At 38.8% G+C, this 16,872-nt stretch overlaps 1 protein-coding gene across 6 annotated transcripts in view; it reads right to left on the reverse strand.

Moving 5' to 3' along the window:
* FHIT (fragile histidine triad diadenosine triphosphatase) overlaps positions 1-16,872 on the reverse strand; it is a 1,504,176-nt gene that overhangs the window by 871,702 nt on the left and 615,602 nt on the right. The gene's annotated exons all lie outside the window — the stretch shown is intronic.

Genomic DNA, 16,872 nt, shown 5'->3' on the forward strand with positions numbered 1-16,872 from the left:
ACCTTTTCAGCCCAGTGGGCCCAGTATCATACTTCTGTCCTACAGAACCACAGGATGATAAATTTGTGTTGTTTGAAGCCACTGAGTCTGATAATTTGTTACAGCAGCAAAGATTAACATAGCAACTAAGTAGATGATTTGTTGCATTATAGGTGGTCACAAAATACAATCCTTTAGTATCATGTATTTTTTCCTCTTACAAGAGTAATTACATTTAAAAAAGCTATCTACTGTTCTAGAATCACTGTCGTTGTTTACAATAAAGTCCTTTAAATGTGCGCATAAAAAACTAAATGTGAATAAAATGTAAATAAAGGAATATTTTTGCCTAATAAATACAAAGAAAATGAAAATCCCAGCAACCTATTTTTTGTGGATATTAACAAACTGATTCTAAAGTGTACATGGAAAAGCAAAAGATTCAGAATATGCAAGACAATATTAAATGAGAAGAACAAAGTAGGAGCACTGACACTATCCGACTTCAAGAGTTAGAACAAAGCTATAGTAATTGAAACAGTGTGGTATTGGCAAAAGCCACCAAATACATCAGTGAAACAGAAGAGAAAGCCCACATAGTCTTTTCCACAAATGGATCTAGAACAAATGGATACCCACATGCAAAAAAAAAAAAAAAAAAAAAAAAAAAGAATCTAGACAAAGACCTCACACTATTCACAAAAATTGACTCAAAATGAATCACAGACCTAAATGTAAAATGTAAAACCATAGAACTCCTAGAAAATAATGTACAAGAAAGTTCAGCTGATCTTGAGCATGAAAGTGACTTTTTATATATAATACCAAAGGTGCAATCCATGAAAGAAATCATTGATAAGCTAGACTTCATTAAAATTGAAAACGTCTCCTTGATATAAGACACTGTCAACTGAGAAAGACAAGCCAAAGGCTAGGAGAAAATATTTGCAAGAAACATGTATGATAAAGAACTGTTATCCAAAATATTTTTTTTAAAGTCTTAAAACTCATTAAGAAAAATAATTTAAAAATGGGCAAAAGACTTGAACAGACACCTCACCAAAAAATACATACAGATGGAATACAGGCATATGAAAAGAAGCTCAACATATATTATTAGGATATTGCAAATTAAAACAATGATACCACTATGTACCTATTAGAATTGTGAAAATTCAAAACAATGACAACACCAAGTGCTAGTGAGGATGTGGGGCAACAGAACTCACATTCACTGTGGATGGGAATGCAAAATGATATAGCAACCTCAGAAGACCCGCAATATTTTACAAAATGAAACGTACTCTTACCATACAATCCAGCAATTATAATCCTTGGTATTTACCCAAAGTAGTTGAAAACTTATTTCTACACAAAAACCTGCACACAGATGTTTATAGTAACTTTATTCAAAATTGCCAAAACCTGGAAGTAATTGAGATGACCTTCAGTAAGTGAATGAATAAACAAATCATGGTATACGCAGACCATTATTCAGCCATACTAAAAAGAAATGAGCTGTTGAGCCACAGAAAGACATGGAGTTACTTTACAGGCATACTGCGAAGCAAAAGGAGCCAAATTTTAAGGGCTGCATACTGTGTGATTCCAGTGATGGGATACATTGGAAAAAAAAAAAAAACTATGAAGAGAATACAAAGATCAATGGTTTGCAAGGGCTCAGAGGAGGGGGAGGGAAAGAGGGATGGCTAGATAGAACATAGGAGATTTTTTAGGGCAGTAAAACTATTCTGAATGATATAACAGTGGTTGCATGTCATTCAACAGCTGTCAAAACCCATAGGATGTACAATGCAGACTGAACCATAACATAACCTACAGACTTGGTTAATAATAGTGTATCAAAATTGGCTCATCAAATGTAAAAAATATACCACACTAATGCAAGTGTTAATTATAAAGGAAACTGGGGGAGTGGTGGGGCGTAGGCAAACTCTGCACTCGTTGCTCAATTTTTCTGTAAACCTAAAATTGTTAAAAAAGAAATAGTGTATTGATTTCTTAAAACCAAATAATATATAAATAGCCTTATAAAAAATGTCAAACCACTCAGAAGTATCCAGACTAAAACATTTAACTCCCAAGTGATGTTTTCACACCAATCCTTTCATTCCTGGGGCAAATGCTCCTCACAGTTTGGTATTTATGCTTCCAGTCTACTTTTGATTTTTTTTTTTTTTTTTTTTTTGAGATGGAGTCTCACATGGTCACCTAGGCTGGAGTGCAGTGGCACTATCTGGACACACCACAACCTCCACCTCCTGGATTCAAGCAATTCTCCTACCTCAGCCTCCCAAGTACCTGTGATTACAGGTGCCCACGACTACGCCTAGCTACTTTTTTGTATTTTTAGTAGAGACAGGGTTTACATTACAATGGCCAGGCTGGTCTCGAACTCCTGACCTCATGATCTGCCCGCCTCAGCCTCCCAAAGTGCTGGGATTACAGCCACTAGCTACCGTGCCCAGCCCCAGTCTAATTTTTAATATGCTTACTATTACACTTATTTCCAAAAAGTGTTCAAACATAAATGGAACATTTTATAAATATCATTCTGAAATTTGGACAGTTCCTTAAAGCAACTACTAGTGACTGCACTGAGCATTATGTGAAAAAAAAAAGACTCCAGAAAATACATGTGCAAGGTGGTCACTATACAAACACACTTTTGGCTTTCCAGAGCATTGTACAGCAATAGTCACATAGTATGGGCTCTAGAAATACTTGAGTGGTTGGCAATTAAGTCAAGATGAAAAGGAATCAGGCCATTAAAATATAGCTACAACTGGGAGGCTGAGGAGGGAAGATCGCTGGAGCACAGGAGATTAAGGGTACAGGGAGCTATGATCATGCCACTGGACTCCAGCCTGGGTGACAGAGTGAGACACTCTCCAAAAAAAAAAAAAAATACAATTACATGGTCTGACAGTTAAATTCTAGAGAGAATCAACCTTTCATCCACACAGCTAGTATGCCAATGAGGTGTCCACTGTGTAGGGAGAATTAACCCTCTGCATTTTTCTTAAGGATTTGAGCTCTCTTAGCTACACAAACATAGGAATTGTTATCCCCATCTTAGAGGCAAGAAAGCTGGGAGTCAGGGAGCTTAAATAACTTGCTTGAGATGACTCAATGATTGGTGATGGAGTCAAGATTGAAAACCCGGGCAAGCCTCCATGTCTCACGGTGCCCCTAAAAGTACTTTCTACAGGTAACAAGCACCCAAGTGGTCTTTTCCTCATCAGTCCCAAATTGGCCGAAAAGATCATCTGTGACCAACTGGAACAGGATTATATCCATATCTCAATTAAAACCATGTTTCCATTTGCCCCTTCCTTAAAGCAAATCACAGTTCTTTATGTGGATTTTTTGAAACGTACAAATCTAGATTTTTTTTTTTAACACATTCTGGTGCTCAGTTGCTTAGGAAACTGCTTTTGTCATTAGGTGGGAAGGACTAACACACTTAAGAGAGAGAAAGGCAAAGGGGGAATATATAGTAAACCCAGTGCTGATGTGAATTGTATCCACAGGGACTATAACAAAACAATCAGAACTCAAAGGGAAAAGGAGCTTTTGAGTGGGTTGTGAAATAAGCTATTAAGTCATGCAAATAAATCCAATGTCAACACTTCAGCCTGGGCTGATTGGATGCATGCATTAAAACTCATACTTCATAAGAATTTAAGGCCTCTGGTGTTCTCAGTTTTTCTTCTTTTTCACTTTGGGGTTTTTTGGTTGGAGGGAGGCATTTCTAGAGAAAGCATGCCTGCTTTACGCTAGAATCGCTCATGAAGTAGAGAATTTGTGCATCAAGGTTTGAAACAATACATTATTCCAAGACCTTGTCCTTCATCAGTAGTTTCAGCCTTTGCCACATTTCTGAGCTCCGTGCTCAAAAGAAGCATCTCTTCTCCCAGGCTCCTGCACCCAACCAGGCAGGGATCCAACATTCAGATAATTCAGACGGTACACACATTCATGACTTCAAGATGCTGCTGTTGACAGTCGTACACCTTAACTTGCAGTGGGTGCAAACATAATCAGCCTTTTCTCCCACGAAGCCCATCTTTAGAAGCACTGTGAGATTTTTGCCTGTCTTGTTCAAGACCATACCTACAGTGCCTAGTGCGGGACCTGGCACACATAGTAGATACGTAACAAGTAATCACTAGTCTGTTACATGAGCAAGAAATAACTTTTTTAATGCAATTGCGTGGCTGATCTATTTGTCACCAAAGTGTAACCTCCCCTGTCCAATATGCCATCACTTTATTTTCCACTGCAAGCACAAGATCTTGCAGCTCAAGAAAGAACTGTGCTACATGGCATGCTCTAAATTCGACATGCCATCTCAATTTAACATGATACTTATGTAAGCCAATAGTCCCACTTTACAGATGAGATATTGGAGCTTTATAGAAATCAAGTAATCTAGCCACAGTCCCAGAGCTAATAAATGATAGGACAAGGATTTATATCCCATCATTTTAGCTGTAAAACATGTTCATTTTTTTCTTTTTAAATCTGTGCTGGGCTGTGTTCTGACCTCAAGTGAAATACTGTGTGTTTGTATCACTCAACTCGCACATACCAAAGTTTAAGTCAAGAGCCTTTATGACTTATAAAAAACAATTGCTTGAGAGGCACTGGGTGATACATAGGCTCAGTTAAAGCAGAAGGAACAGCACTAGCATGTCATATTGGTAAGATACAAATTAAATTGCAGTTAGAAATGGACTGTCATGGTAGTAAAACTATGGGAAGAGCAAGGAAGTCCTCGTTTCGGCGTGTCTTCAGGAACACACCGGTTAACCATCTATTTGCCCAACCCGATTTGGTCTTTAAACTTGCCTGAAGAAGCCAGTTGGAGGGAACAGAAGGCTTCTCTCAAGGTCAATGTCTCCCTCCATACCCCCCACTTCAGGATCTCCTATGCATCAGGCACTGTGCTATACAACGAGTAAAACATAGTGTTTGCTTTTGAAAAATTCTACAATACATGAACAGATAATTATGGCAGAACATGCTAAGTACAATGTTATAGTAATACAGAGAAAAACAGAAAAACTGACTCAGAGCACATTCAAAAGGGCTGTTTAATCCATGCCTAAGTGGAGTAAGGAGGCCAAAAGTTAATGAGGAGAGCATCCCAGAGAGAAGAAATGGTAGAGCCAGTGGTGTGAAGGCAAAAGCCAGTAGGACGTATGCAGAGAAGTCCATGCAGTTCAGTGGTGCCAGAATGCAAAATGAGAAGCAAGGAGTGGTAAGAGACAGCAGGAAAGCTTAGCTTACTTTTTAAGTCAGCCATGCTGAGCAGCTTGGGCTTCAACTTGACAATGATGAACACATATTTGGCAAGATTTGGCAGAGGACAGGTTGGATATGAAGTTTAGAAAAATCCCTACAGCTGGTGTGGATTTGAATGGAATTGGACAGAAGACCAGCCCAAGTTAGGAAGCTGATGGAGAGTCCCAGCAAAATACAGGAATCTGAGCAAGTTTTATAGTTTTATAAATATAGGAACATGAATGAGAATAGGAATGAAGAGAGAGGACTGCTTTGACAATGATTCCAAAAGTAAAATATTCAAGAAGGGTGGGAATGGAGTCTACCAAGAAGAAAAACTGGATAAAGGCAGAATAAAAACTTGGAATAAATAATATTACTGAAATTACTTAGCAATGTTAATAATGTTAAATGTGTCTGTGGTAGGCCTGACCCTCTGGCTGTCCATTATTCCATATGTGGTCTTTTCTGACTGGCTTCTTTCACTTACTGTAATGTTTATAAGGTTCATCCATGTTGTAACATGTATCAGTACTTCATTCCTTTTTTTTACAAGATGATATTGAATTGACAGGATATGCCATGTTTGTCCATTCAGAAATTGATAAGATATTTGGCTTGTTTCTAGTTTTTTTTTTTGTTTGTTTGTTTGTTTGTTTTTGAGACAGTCTTGCCCTGTTGCTCAGGCTGGAGTACAATGGCACAATCTCAGCTCACTGCAATCTCCGCCTCTCAGGCTCAAGCAATCCTCCCACTTCAGCCTCCCAAGTATCTGGGACTACAGGCACATGCCACCATGCCTGGCAAATTTTTGTATTTTTTGTAGAGGTGAGGTTTCACCATGTTGCCCAGACTGGTCTTGAACTTCTGAGCTCAAGTGATCCACTCGCCTCAGCCTCCCAAAATGTTGGGATTACAGGCATGAACGACCACGCCTGGCCTTGTTTCTAGTTTTTAGCAAATTTAATGTTGCTATGAACATTCACGTACAAGCTTTTGAGTGGACATATGTTTTCATTTCTCTTGGGTATATATCTACAGGTGGAATTGCTGAATCATATGGCAATTCGTTTTTCAACCTTTTGGGGAAATGATAGACTGTTTTCCAAAGTGGCTATACCATGTTACATTCTCACCAGCAATGTATGTTCAAGTTCCTCTATGTCTTCTTTTCAATTATAGCCATCCTATGAGGTGATGTGGTATCTCACTATGGTTTTGATTTGTATTTTCTTGATGACTAGTGATGCTGAGTATCTTTTTATGGGCTTATTGGTCATCTGTATATCTTCTTTGGATAAATATCTATTCAGACCTTTTATCCATTTTTTAAATTGGGTTTATACAAATATTTATATATTCTAGATACAAGTCTCTTATCAGATATATGATATGTAAGTATTTTATCCCATTCTGTGGAGTTTCTTTTCAGCTTCTGGATGTTATCCATGGAAACACAAAAGTTTTTAATGCTTGTGTCTTTTTCCATTTGTTGCTTGTGTTGTCTTTTTCCATATGTTGTTAAGACATCATATCTAAAATATTTTGCCTAATCCAAGGCCATTTGTTATGCTTATGTTTCCTTCTAAGAGTTTTATAGTTTTAGCTTTTACATTTGAGGCCAAGATTCATTTTGAGATAATCTTTGTATATGGGGTCAGGTAAGGATCCAAATTCATTCTTTTGCATGTGGAGACCTAGTTGCCCCAGAATCATTTGTTTAAAAGGTTTTTACCATGAATTGTCTTGGCAGCACTTTTGAAAATCAGTTGATAGTAAATGTGAGTTTATTTCTGGAATCTCAGTTCTATGCCATTGATCTTTATTGTTATGTCAGCACTACACTCTCTTGATCACTGTAGAGTTGTCATGAGTTCCGAAACCAGGAAATCCTCCAAGTTCGCACTTTTTTTCAAGACTGTTTCAGCTATTCTCAGGATCCCTTGAATTTCTGTATGATTTTAGGATTATCCTGTCAAGTTTTACAACAATATCTGCTGAGATTTTGATAGGAGTTGCATTGAATCTTTATGGCACTCAACAATTTTTGGCACTTTTAACAATAACTCTTCCAATCCCCAAACATAAAAAGTCTTGCCTTGTATTTAGATATTCTTCAACTTATTTCAAATATACATAAATTCAGAGTTTATATTTTTTGTTGCTTTTAATTTATTCCCAAGTATTTATTCTTTTTGATGCCCTCATAAATGGAATTTTCTCAGTTTCATTTTCTGATTGTCTATCACAAGTGAATAGAGAGAATGAGTTTGTGTATATTGTTCTTGTATCCTAAAAACTTGCTCAACTTGTTTATTTCTGATAGGTTTTTTAGTGGATTTAAGATCTTCTATATATAAGATTATGCCATTTATAATAAAGTTTTTCTTCTTTTCAAATATGAATGCAGTTTCTTTTTCTTGCCTAATTTCCCTGGTTAGAACTGTTAGACAATGTTGAATGGAAATGGCAAGAGGGGATATCTGTGCCTTCTTCCTTATCTTAGGGGAAAACACTCTTTTTTTTTTTTTTTTTTACGTTAAGTATGATATGAGCTGTGAATTTTTAATAATGCTTTTTATCAGGTTGAGAAAGTTTCATACTATTCTATTTCCTTGAGTGTTTTTATCATGAAAGGGTGTTAAATGTTTTTCAAATATTTTTTCTATGTCTATTGATATAATCATGTTGCTTTTATCCTTTATTCTATTGATATGCTATATTACATTTATTAGTTTTCATATGTTAAAATGATCTTGCATTTCTGGGATAAATTCCACATGGCCATGGTACAAAATATGTTGCTGGATCCAGTTTGCTTGTCTTCCACTGAGGATTTTTACATCTGTATTGATAAGATATTGGTCTGTAGTTTCCTTGCATTGTGATGTCTGTCTGTTTTGGTTAACAGGATGCTATTGGCCTCATAGAATGTAGTGATAATTTTTGGAAGAGTTTCTGAAAAACTGATATTAATTTTTTAAATGTTTGGTAGAATTGGCCAGTGAAGTCATCTGAACTTGGACTTTTATTTGTGGGTAGTTTTTTATTATAAAAAATATATATTCAGTCTTTTTACTTTTGATGGGTTATTCAGGCTTTATATTTGTAGAATCAGTTTTGTTTGTATCTGTTTAGGAATTTGTTCATTTCATCCAAGTTATCCAATTCATAGTCATACATTTATTCATTGTTTTCCCTTGTAATCCTTTTTCTTTCTGCAAGGTGAGTAGTAAGGTCCCCTTTTTTAATTTTTGAGATGGAGTCTCGCTCTGCCACCCAGGCTGGAGTGCAGTGACAGGCTGGAGTGCAGTGGCGGGATCTAGGCTCACTGAAACCTCTGCCTCCCAGGTTCAAGCAATTCTTCTGCCTCAGCTTCCCGAGTAGCTGGGACTACAGGCATGTGCCACCACACCCGGCTAATTTTCGTATTTTTAGTAGAGACGGGGTGTCACCATATTGGCCAGGCTAGTCACATACTCCTGACCACGTGATCCGCCCACCTCAGCCTCCCAAAGGGCTGGAATTATAGGCGTGAGCCACTGCGCCTGGCCAGGTCCCACTTTTTATTCCTGATTTTAATAATTTGAGTCTTCTTTCTTTCCTGCTTAGTCAGTCTAGGTAAAGTTTTCTCTGGTTTGTTCATCTTTTGAACCAACTCTGGTTACATTGATTCTATTTTTCTATTCTCTATTTCATTAATTTCTGTTCCAACCTTTATTATTTTCTTCTGCTTTGTGTGGTTTACTCATTTTATAGTTTATTAAGGTGAAACATAGGTTACTGATTTGAGATTTTTTAAAAATACAGGTACTTAAGCTATATGTTTCCCTCAAAGCCCTGTTTTAGTTGCATTCTATCAGCTGTTATGTTACATCTTCATTTTCATCAATGACATAAAATTGTTTCTCATTTTCATTGTGATTTTTTAAATTGACTCATTGGATATTTAGGAGTGTGTTGTTTAAGTTCTGTGTATTTGCAAGTTTCCAAAAATATGTTAGATTTCTAATTTCACCTTATTGTAGCTAGAGAATATACTTTATATGATTTCAATCATTTGAATATATTGAGGCTTTTATGGCTTAGCATGTGGTATATTTGGAAAATGTTCCATGTACACTTGAGAACAATGAATATTGAAGGTTTTATCTCTTTCTCTGATATTTCTGTTGTCTGCCTCAATTGGCCTCACACCCAGCTGTTATGCTTCACTAATTACTGGATAATCATTCTATTGTTTTGAAAAATACCCTAGAGGCATAAATTTCTCCACAGTCTGACCCAATTAAATTCAAGGGCCTTTGGGAGTTAGATCTTCAGGCCAATTTTTCGTTACTCCAGGAGGGCTCTCTTACCTTTACCTTTCTTTGATTCTCTCTGATCATCTAGGTAATCGATGGGTTAGCTTGTAGATTTTATAGAGCTACCAGCCTCCTTTTAATGGCTTATCACCACAATGTCTATTGCTTTGGACAATGACCTTAGTTAGGCTTGACATTCCCCCCACTGTTTCAAATGAAATCAATTCCTATGAGCTTCAGAGTTCTTATGGACTGCTTCTACCCCTAGCAAAATCTGAGCCTGGAGCTCCAGAGCTGGCAGGCAGAGTAACACCTATACTTTCTGAGTAGGGGACTTGTTGGGGGTGGCAGCCTCTGGCTTTCTTAGCTTGCCTCTCTCAGCTTGCCTCTCTCAGCATAGAATCTGCCTATGAGTAAGCTGAGGCAAGGGGGACTGGGGCCTCAATATTCTCAGCCTCCCATACCCGGGGTAGAACATCCACCTAATTAGTTGGGGGTAGGTGGAAGAAGGTAATTCCTAAACTTTCCGCCACTCTCACCAAGAACTTAGCCTCTGCAGTTTAGGGCAGAGGGAATGAGAAATTCTAGTGACCTGTTCCTCAGTGAGATACCATATCCCTTGACTGGAAGCTGAGGGGAAAGGCAGCACCATCTCTTTGGCCACATCTGCCCAGAGTGGAGGCTCCATCTCACAGAGCTACATGAAAGGGATAGATAGCAGGCTGTGTCTGACATGCTACAGACTCTCATGTTCTTAGGGAGATTCTTCAGATTTGCTCACATAAGTGCTTTTGATTTGTCATATTCCATTACAATAATTTCCAGAGACTTTAAATGAGTTTCTTTATATTTTTCATCAGTTATGGATGTTTTCTGGGAAATGGTCCATGGAACACCTTATTCTGCCATTCTGGAAATAAAACTCCAAGAAACTTCTCTTTAAGCCTCTGAGACTTAGAGGTTGCTTATTACTGCAGGAAAGCCTAGTTTAGCATGATGAAAGCCGTGTCTAGTATTAAAGCAGAATTAAAGTCAACTCAAGGAAAGTAAAATGATTTTCCAACTCTATCTTTCTCTGATAGGTTCTTGTCCCTTAAAGCTGAGTAGCCGTCACTGGCCAGATTCTAGAATAATGCCCTTCCTGTTTTTCTTTTGTTCTGTTGTCCCCACTTGATTGCTTTAATGTATCTAGGTAGACTGCCTCTATTAAGAAGTCCCAAGTTAATGTAGGCTACTTGCAGTCTTTGAAACACAGTGCCCATTTAAAGATGACAATCCTAGAATCATAAGAGCAGGGATACAAACTATTTTATTCACTCTAGTATTCTCAGAGCCTAAAACAGTGTCTGGCTAGCCTGACACTTGATAGCTGCTCCCAAAAGGTATTTTTTGAATGACAGTGTCAGGACCTTGCTCCTGTTCCTTTGTTACACTGGCTGCCCTGGGGATCAAAGCGTATGGGAGGGCTATTTGTCTTATGTTATCTTTCTGAAAGTATCCTCCCAGAGACTGGTTCAAACAGGAACCCTACCTGACTCCTATGTCCTAAAGGACTCTATCAATAAAGTATTCCAAGATTCTTCTAGCCAGGAGGTCTGGCTTCATTTTCGAAGTTATCTCAGAAACCTAAAGTGTGTACTCTGGTATCATTAACTGATGTGACACAACTAGTGTGATTCCATCAGTTTTATAAATGACAACCAGTGTGAGGAAGTCGACACCAAAAGAAGACACTACTGGACAGAAGGCAAATGATTTTGAATAATCAGCCTCTACCCTATTCCCCCAGGGAGACTAAAATGCCTAAGCAATGCTCTCGTTGATCACAAAGGATACATGTTTGTCCTCTTGTTTAGAGTTGCAAGAACCCACTCTTTCCAAAGCAATCAAAATCCTATATTAAGGGGACCATGTCTAGAAGCTCTGGAAAATTCCTGGAATAGTAACACAAAAAAGGAGTCACTGTACCACCACCACAAGCCTCTCTGGGAACTAATTGTGTTCTAGATGCAAGAGACACTTAACCCAGCATTTGTCTTAGCAGTGTCTGCCTACTATGTGAGCCTTACGCCATCCCTGAGACTCTGCCAGGCCCCTGCCCATCCACTCAACACTTACAGTTGAACTTTGCCAGGAAATCTAGCTCATCTAGTTCTCCAGCTTTCTAATCCTTCCTCTCACCCAAGACTGACCCACTCCTTGTCCTATCTTGACGTCCCTCTGGTTTATACAGAGTAATTAAATCACTGGTTAATTGATGAATTCAATTAAATCAATGTCTTACCTGAGTCCCTGTTAGGATTCTTTAACCTTTTTTGGAAAATAGCCACATGTCAAATTTACTCACTTCTTCCCAGGTCATTAAAAAAAAAAAAAAAAAAAAAACACACAGAAATAACTGAGTAAAAAACACTCTCAATCTTTGCCCTCTTGGTATCAGCTTTGAGACACCTGGCCAAGTACAGCCTGTGCTAAGTTTCAAAGAGGAGGCAGATAACTTTGAAGATTTTATTTCACAGGGGACAACAGATAAAAGTCTCTGTCAAGTTGTCATTAGATGCTTAATGCTATTCTTGGTGGGGAGCTTGAGGCGCCCCTCCTCCTCTGTAGACTTCTAGCAGATTAGGTTTCAGAGCTTTAATTTGAGGAAGGATTTACAGCTGTGAAGAGGTATAATATCATTTTGATTTGGGTTGTACTAGGCTGGGGAAGCCAGATTACATTTGTATGAAACTGTATTAGACCATATGACTGAAACCACCAAAATCAAATAAAGGGAAAATTTTCCAGAGAGCCTAAAAACAAGAGCCTGTCTTTCCAGCACCTGAGCATTGTTTCACTAACTATTATTCTGATTTACATCTAGGGGATCCATGCAGAAATGCGGAGGGAGATGGCAACAATGCCTGTGCTTGCTGGACCTATCCATTCATTAATCTGTCATCAACCTAATCCAGGGGCCCATCCCCTAGAACAAGAGGAAAAAAATTAACACTTAGAGAAGAGGGGAAGTTGGCAGGGGGAGGGGAGATAACTTTATGAAAAATAGCCTTCTTTCATCTCCGGAGGCACTGTCTAATTCAGAGTCTCAAAGAAATCCATCAAATTGTCTCTCTGGGCCTCAGTCCATCCACCGCCACCATATGCTACCATGTGCGTGTGTCGCACGGCATCCCCAGATAATGACTTACGTGGGCACCGTGCCTTTCCTCTAGAACCATCTTAATGCTATTTTAAAATCCGACTCTCATTTGCATGGAAAACAATAAATCACTTTGGGTAACACAGAAAACCCAGTTTCTTCTGAGATGAAACATGAAAAAAAGAGTTAGCTGTTGTTTGTACCACACAGCTACACAGAACTGGGCAGACTACCAGCATCTTCTACTGGGATTTAGAGATGGACGCAAGAAACACCACGGGTAGGACTCTGAAAATTGAAATTATTTTTGTGCCAGTCTCTAGATTCAACTAGAATGTGCTCTTGGCTGGGGAGAATTTGGGAAAGAAGTGTTTTTTTTTTGTTTTTTGTTTTTTTTTAATTGCAACTACTAAGTTTCAAAAATGGGGGAAAATCATGAAGACAGCCACAGACATCTTCAGGGGCTGACTAATTCTTAAATGATTGGTTCCTCTAAGAGTGGTTAGTGGTGAAAGAGTAAATGATGTATGAGAACGATTTCTCTGATTTCTGCCAGGAGTTCTACTCACTCAGTAACCACAGGGAATAGAAGGATCAGGTTTTCCACAGAAACTACTTTTAGCACATGCTGTGTTTCTACACCTGTACTTCTCTTCCGAACAACTATCTTAGCTCCAAGTTGACATGGCCCGTTACCAAGGGGCTCCATGTCTTTTGTTTTTGTAGTAAAGATGACTTGAATACAGAAGAGGTGTTGTAGGAGAGCGCGTCTTCTCCAAATGCTGGCAGATGACAGTTTCCGCAGGGACGTAAAGAGGTGACAAAGGCACAGAATATAATTTAGTCCTGATTTCCAGGTCTGGCTCACAAAACTAATCGGATGAAAATGTGGCCAAAAGAATACCTCGGAGATAAACTTTCTAGAACAAGCTAACGCCATAATTTGACCCTAATTCCAAAAATCATGGGAAGGACATACTTCTTAGTATCTTTATCTTATTCTCAATTAATCAACAAACCTTAATGTAAATAAATTTTCTAAAATTCATTGTCACCGAGGAAAGGGTTAAAAAAAACTAAAGTTCTCTTTTGAGAATGGATTTCTTTCCCTCACTACCTTCTTAGACAATACAACAGAGGTTATTTCTAGACCCAGAGGAGACAATGCAACATAGCTTCTCCAGCCTTTGGACACTAAGCAAGTTATCAATAATGCAGAATCTTGAAACCTGACACTAAACTCCTTCAGAGGTAGGTATCTTGTGAGCAAAAGAGAACAGAGTAAAAGGGGCAAGGATGGGAGAGTGTAAGAAGAACCATGCTGTGGACATTTTACTTCTTGGGGTGTTAGTTTCCTTCTATGCAAAATACAACTGTAGATTGCCACAAGCCTAAACAAAATCTGTAAGAAATAAATAACCTTCAAAGCAATTTAATAAAAAGAAATGTGCCCAAAATATCCTCAAAGACTTTATTAATCTAGGGAGGCAATAGTTAGGAATATGAGACATGAGTCAAACCACCTGATTCCACATCCCGATTGCACGATGAACTAGCTGTGTGATATTGAGCAAGTGACTTAACCCCCAGATTTCCTACCTGTATAAGAGGAATAATGAAAGCTCCACAACTACTGCAAAAGCTAAATCAAATAATATGTGTAAAGCTGTTAGTACAATACCTGCCCCCACAGTAAACACACAATAAGTATTAGAAATACAACAAATTATTATATTTAAGTATAAAGCGGTAATCTGTACATACTTGGAACATTTCTGACTTGAGAAGCTATAAAATCATGGATCAAAACAGTTGTACAAAAGATGGTGTTATGTGAGGTCCTTTGGATTTAATATAAGGAGCCAAATAAAAGCAGTCCAAATTTAGAAAAATCTTTCAAGCTATTCCGCGATGACTGTGTCTGTCATCACTTGGGAAAGGAAACTGTATGCTACTCGCATTCTAGAGAGCTGTTAGGAAATGCTAGCTGACCCTCAACAAACCTTCAGCCTCCCCAGGAACACAGTTAGGCAGCTTAATTTGGGCAAGCGAGGAGAAAGCATGAGCCCGTACCCAAGCACTGCCTGGTTTCCATCTGCGCGATTTAACCACAAGCCACAGAGCGCCTCTGCGGACACCAAGTCCAGCTGCCAGGGAAAGGTTTCAGACCCACGGTGGTGTCCCAACAATTTCCAGTTCAGTGGAAATCTGGGGAACGCACAGGCTCATAGCATATGATTTCTTCATGTTTCATTAGTTTCCAGGTTTTAAACAATTTTAACCTTCTCTCTGGCACAGAGCTGCTGTACTGTAAGTAGAAATCACTGGACTTTGAGTAACATGAGCCTGTTTCACGTTTGTGGGTGGACATCCAATTGGCACAGTGACCTTGGCCATGTCCTGACTCCTCTGAGCTTCACTTTCCTCATCTGTAAAATGGGTGAAAGCCAACTTCAGTGAGTTCTGGGGACACAAACATGTTTCACATGTGCCTAGATAGATGCTGTTAGTCTCAACTCATTTGCTATCCTGAACTTAAACGGGTTGCCAATCTACTCTCACACCACTCTAAAACAACAAAAAAAAAATCTTTTCAAAAGCTAACAAACTGAACTAGGAGACGAAGAAAGAAAATTCACCGCTACATAAATTAGCCAGGAGCAAAGCAAGAAGCTGCCCGAGTAGGGCAGTTGGCTTCCCACAATTGATTCTTTAATAACTTCTGTAATATTTCTGAGGCACATCAAAGGACAGTAACAGCCCAGTGTTGGTAATCCCTCTCACATATAAAAACTTTCATTACAGAGTGTTAAAGGCATCACTCTGCTTGAGAAATCGCAATCAATAGACGTTGGCCTTTTTTCTTCTTTTCTATCCTGGGGTAACGGCACCAGCATTTTCTCTCCAGTAATGCAGTGCTGTGTGGCCAGAGTTTCCTCTGATGCTGCAGACGAGCACCAAGATGAAAAAATCTTTGTGATAAATGAGAAAGAGGAGAAGAAGTTTGGGAGAATACCTCTCTGTGTTAGAAACCCGAAGTGTTCCATGCTAATTCACCCTAAATGCTGTTTGCAAATATTGGCTTAGACATGCATTTAAAAGTCACAGGGATTTGTTTTAACATGATTTCTTTTGCATTCCCATGTGGAAAATACCTTATTTTAGAGTGAGACGCCATCTCTATTTCCCAGGCTGGAGTGCAGTGGCTATTCACAGGTACTATCCTCAACCCACAACAGCCTCAAACACCTGGGCTCAAGCAATCCTCGCACCTCAGCCTCCTGAGTAGCTAGAGCTACTGCATGCCCCACTGCGCCCAGCCTATAAAAGATTTCAATTGAAAAATGTTTCCAATTAGCACCCTAAGAGCAGGATAATTTTGGAATACTGCAGCAGATCTTAGGGACACAAACTAAAAGGACAGCAGGCAGTCATTAATTTCTTTGTTCCTTATTATCTATAATACAATTGTTAGAGTCAGAAATATAAAATTACTTGCAGAAGTTTTTTTAAATTCAGCCTATTTGTTTCCTTTGAAAGATTACTCCAGGTTCTTTAAAAAGCCAGAATCACATTTTTCTTTTTATTATGAATGCATAAAGGCCAAAGGCCACTCATAGCATCTCCCTCGTAAACCGCATCTTGCCAAAGCCCGTGGCCAATTTCTGGCCTCCCTTTACTGAACCACTTAGTGGCATTTGGCCAGTTGACCACTCCCCTCCTTCATAAGCCGTTTTCTTGCACATAAACCCCCCAACCACACTACCCTTTCCCCACCTCTACTACCTGGCTCCATTTGTCTTCATAGTTTTATAGGAATTTAAGTCATCTATTTGTGTGTATGTTTATTATCTTACTCCATGTCCCATGCCTAGAAATCCCTGGTAAGTTGTAGATACTCCATAAATATTTGCTGCCTGGCTGACTCTTAGTATTTTCTTTTGACAGATTAAAAGCTCAGAGGAGTGAAGCCACTTGCCTAAGACTGCATAGTAAGTGGCCGAGTCAGAATTGGAACTCTGAGCCCATACTCATGACCTTTATATAATAGAAAAAGCAGCCTCGGGATAAATGTCCAAGAGCAGGGTTGGCAAACTTTTCCCTTAAACGGGCAGACAGCAAGTATTTTTGCCTTTG

This window comes from Homo sapiens, chromosome 3 (assembly GCF_000001405.40).
Source record: "Homo sapiens chromosome 3, GRCh38.p14 Primary Assembly".
NCBI classification, from domain to species: domain Eukaryota; kingdom Metazoa; phylum Chordata; class Mammalia; order Primates; family Hominidae; genus Homo; species Homo sapiens.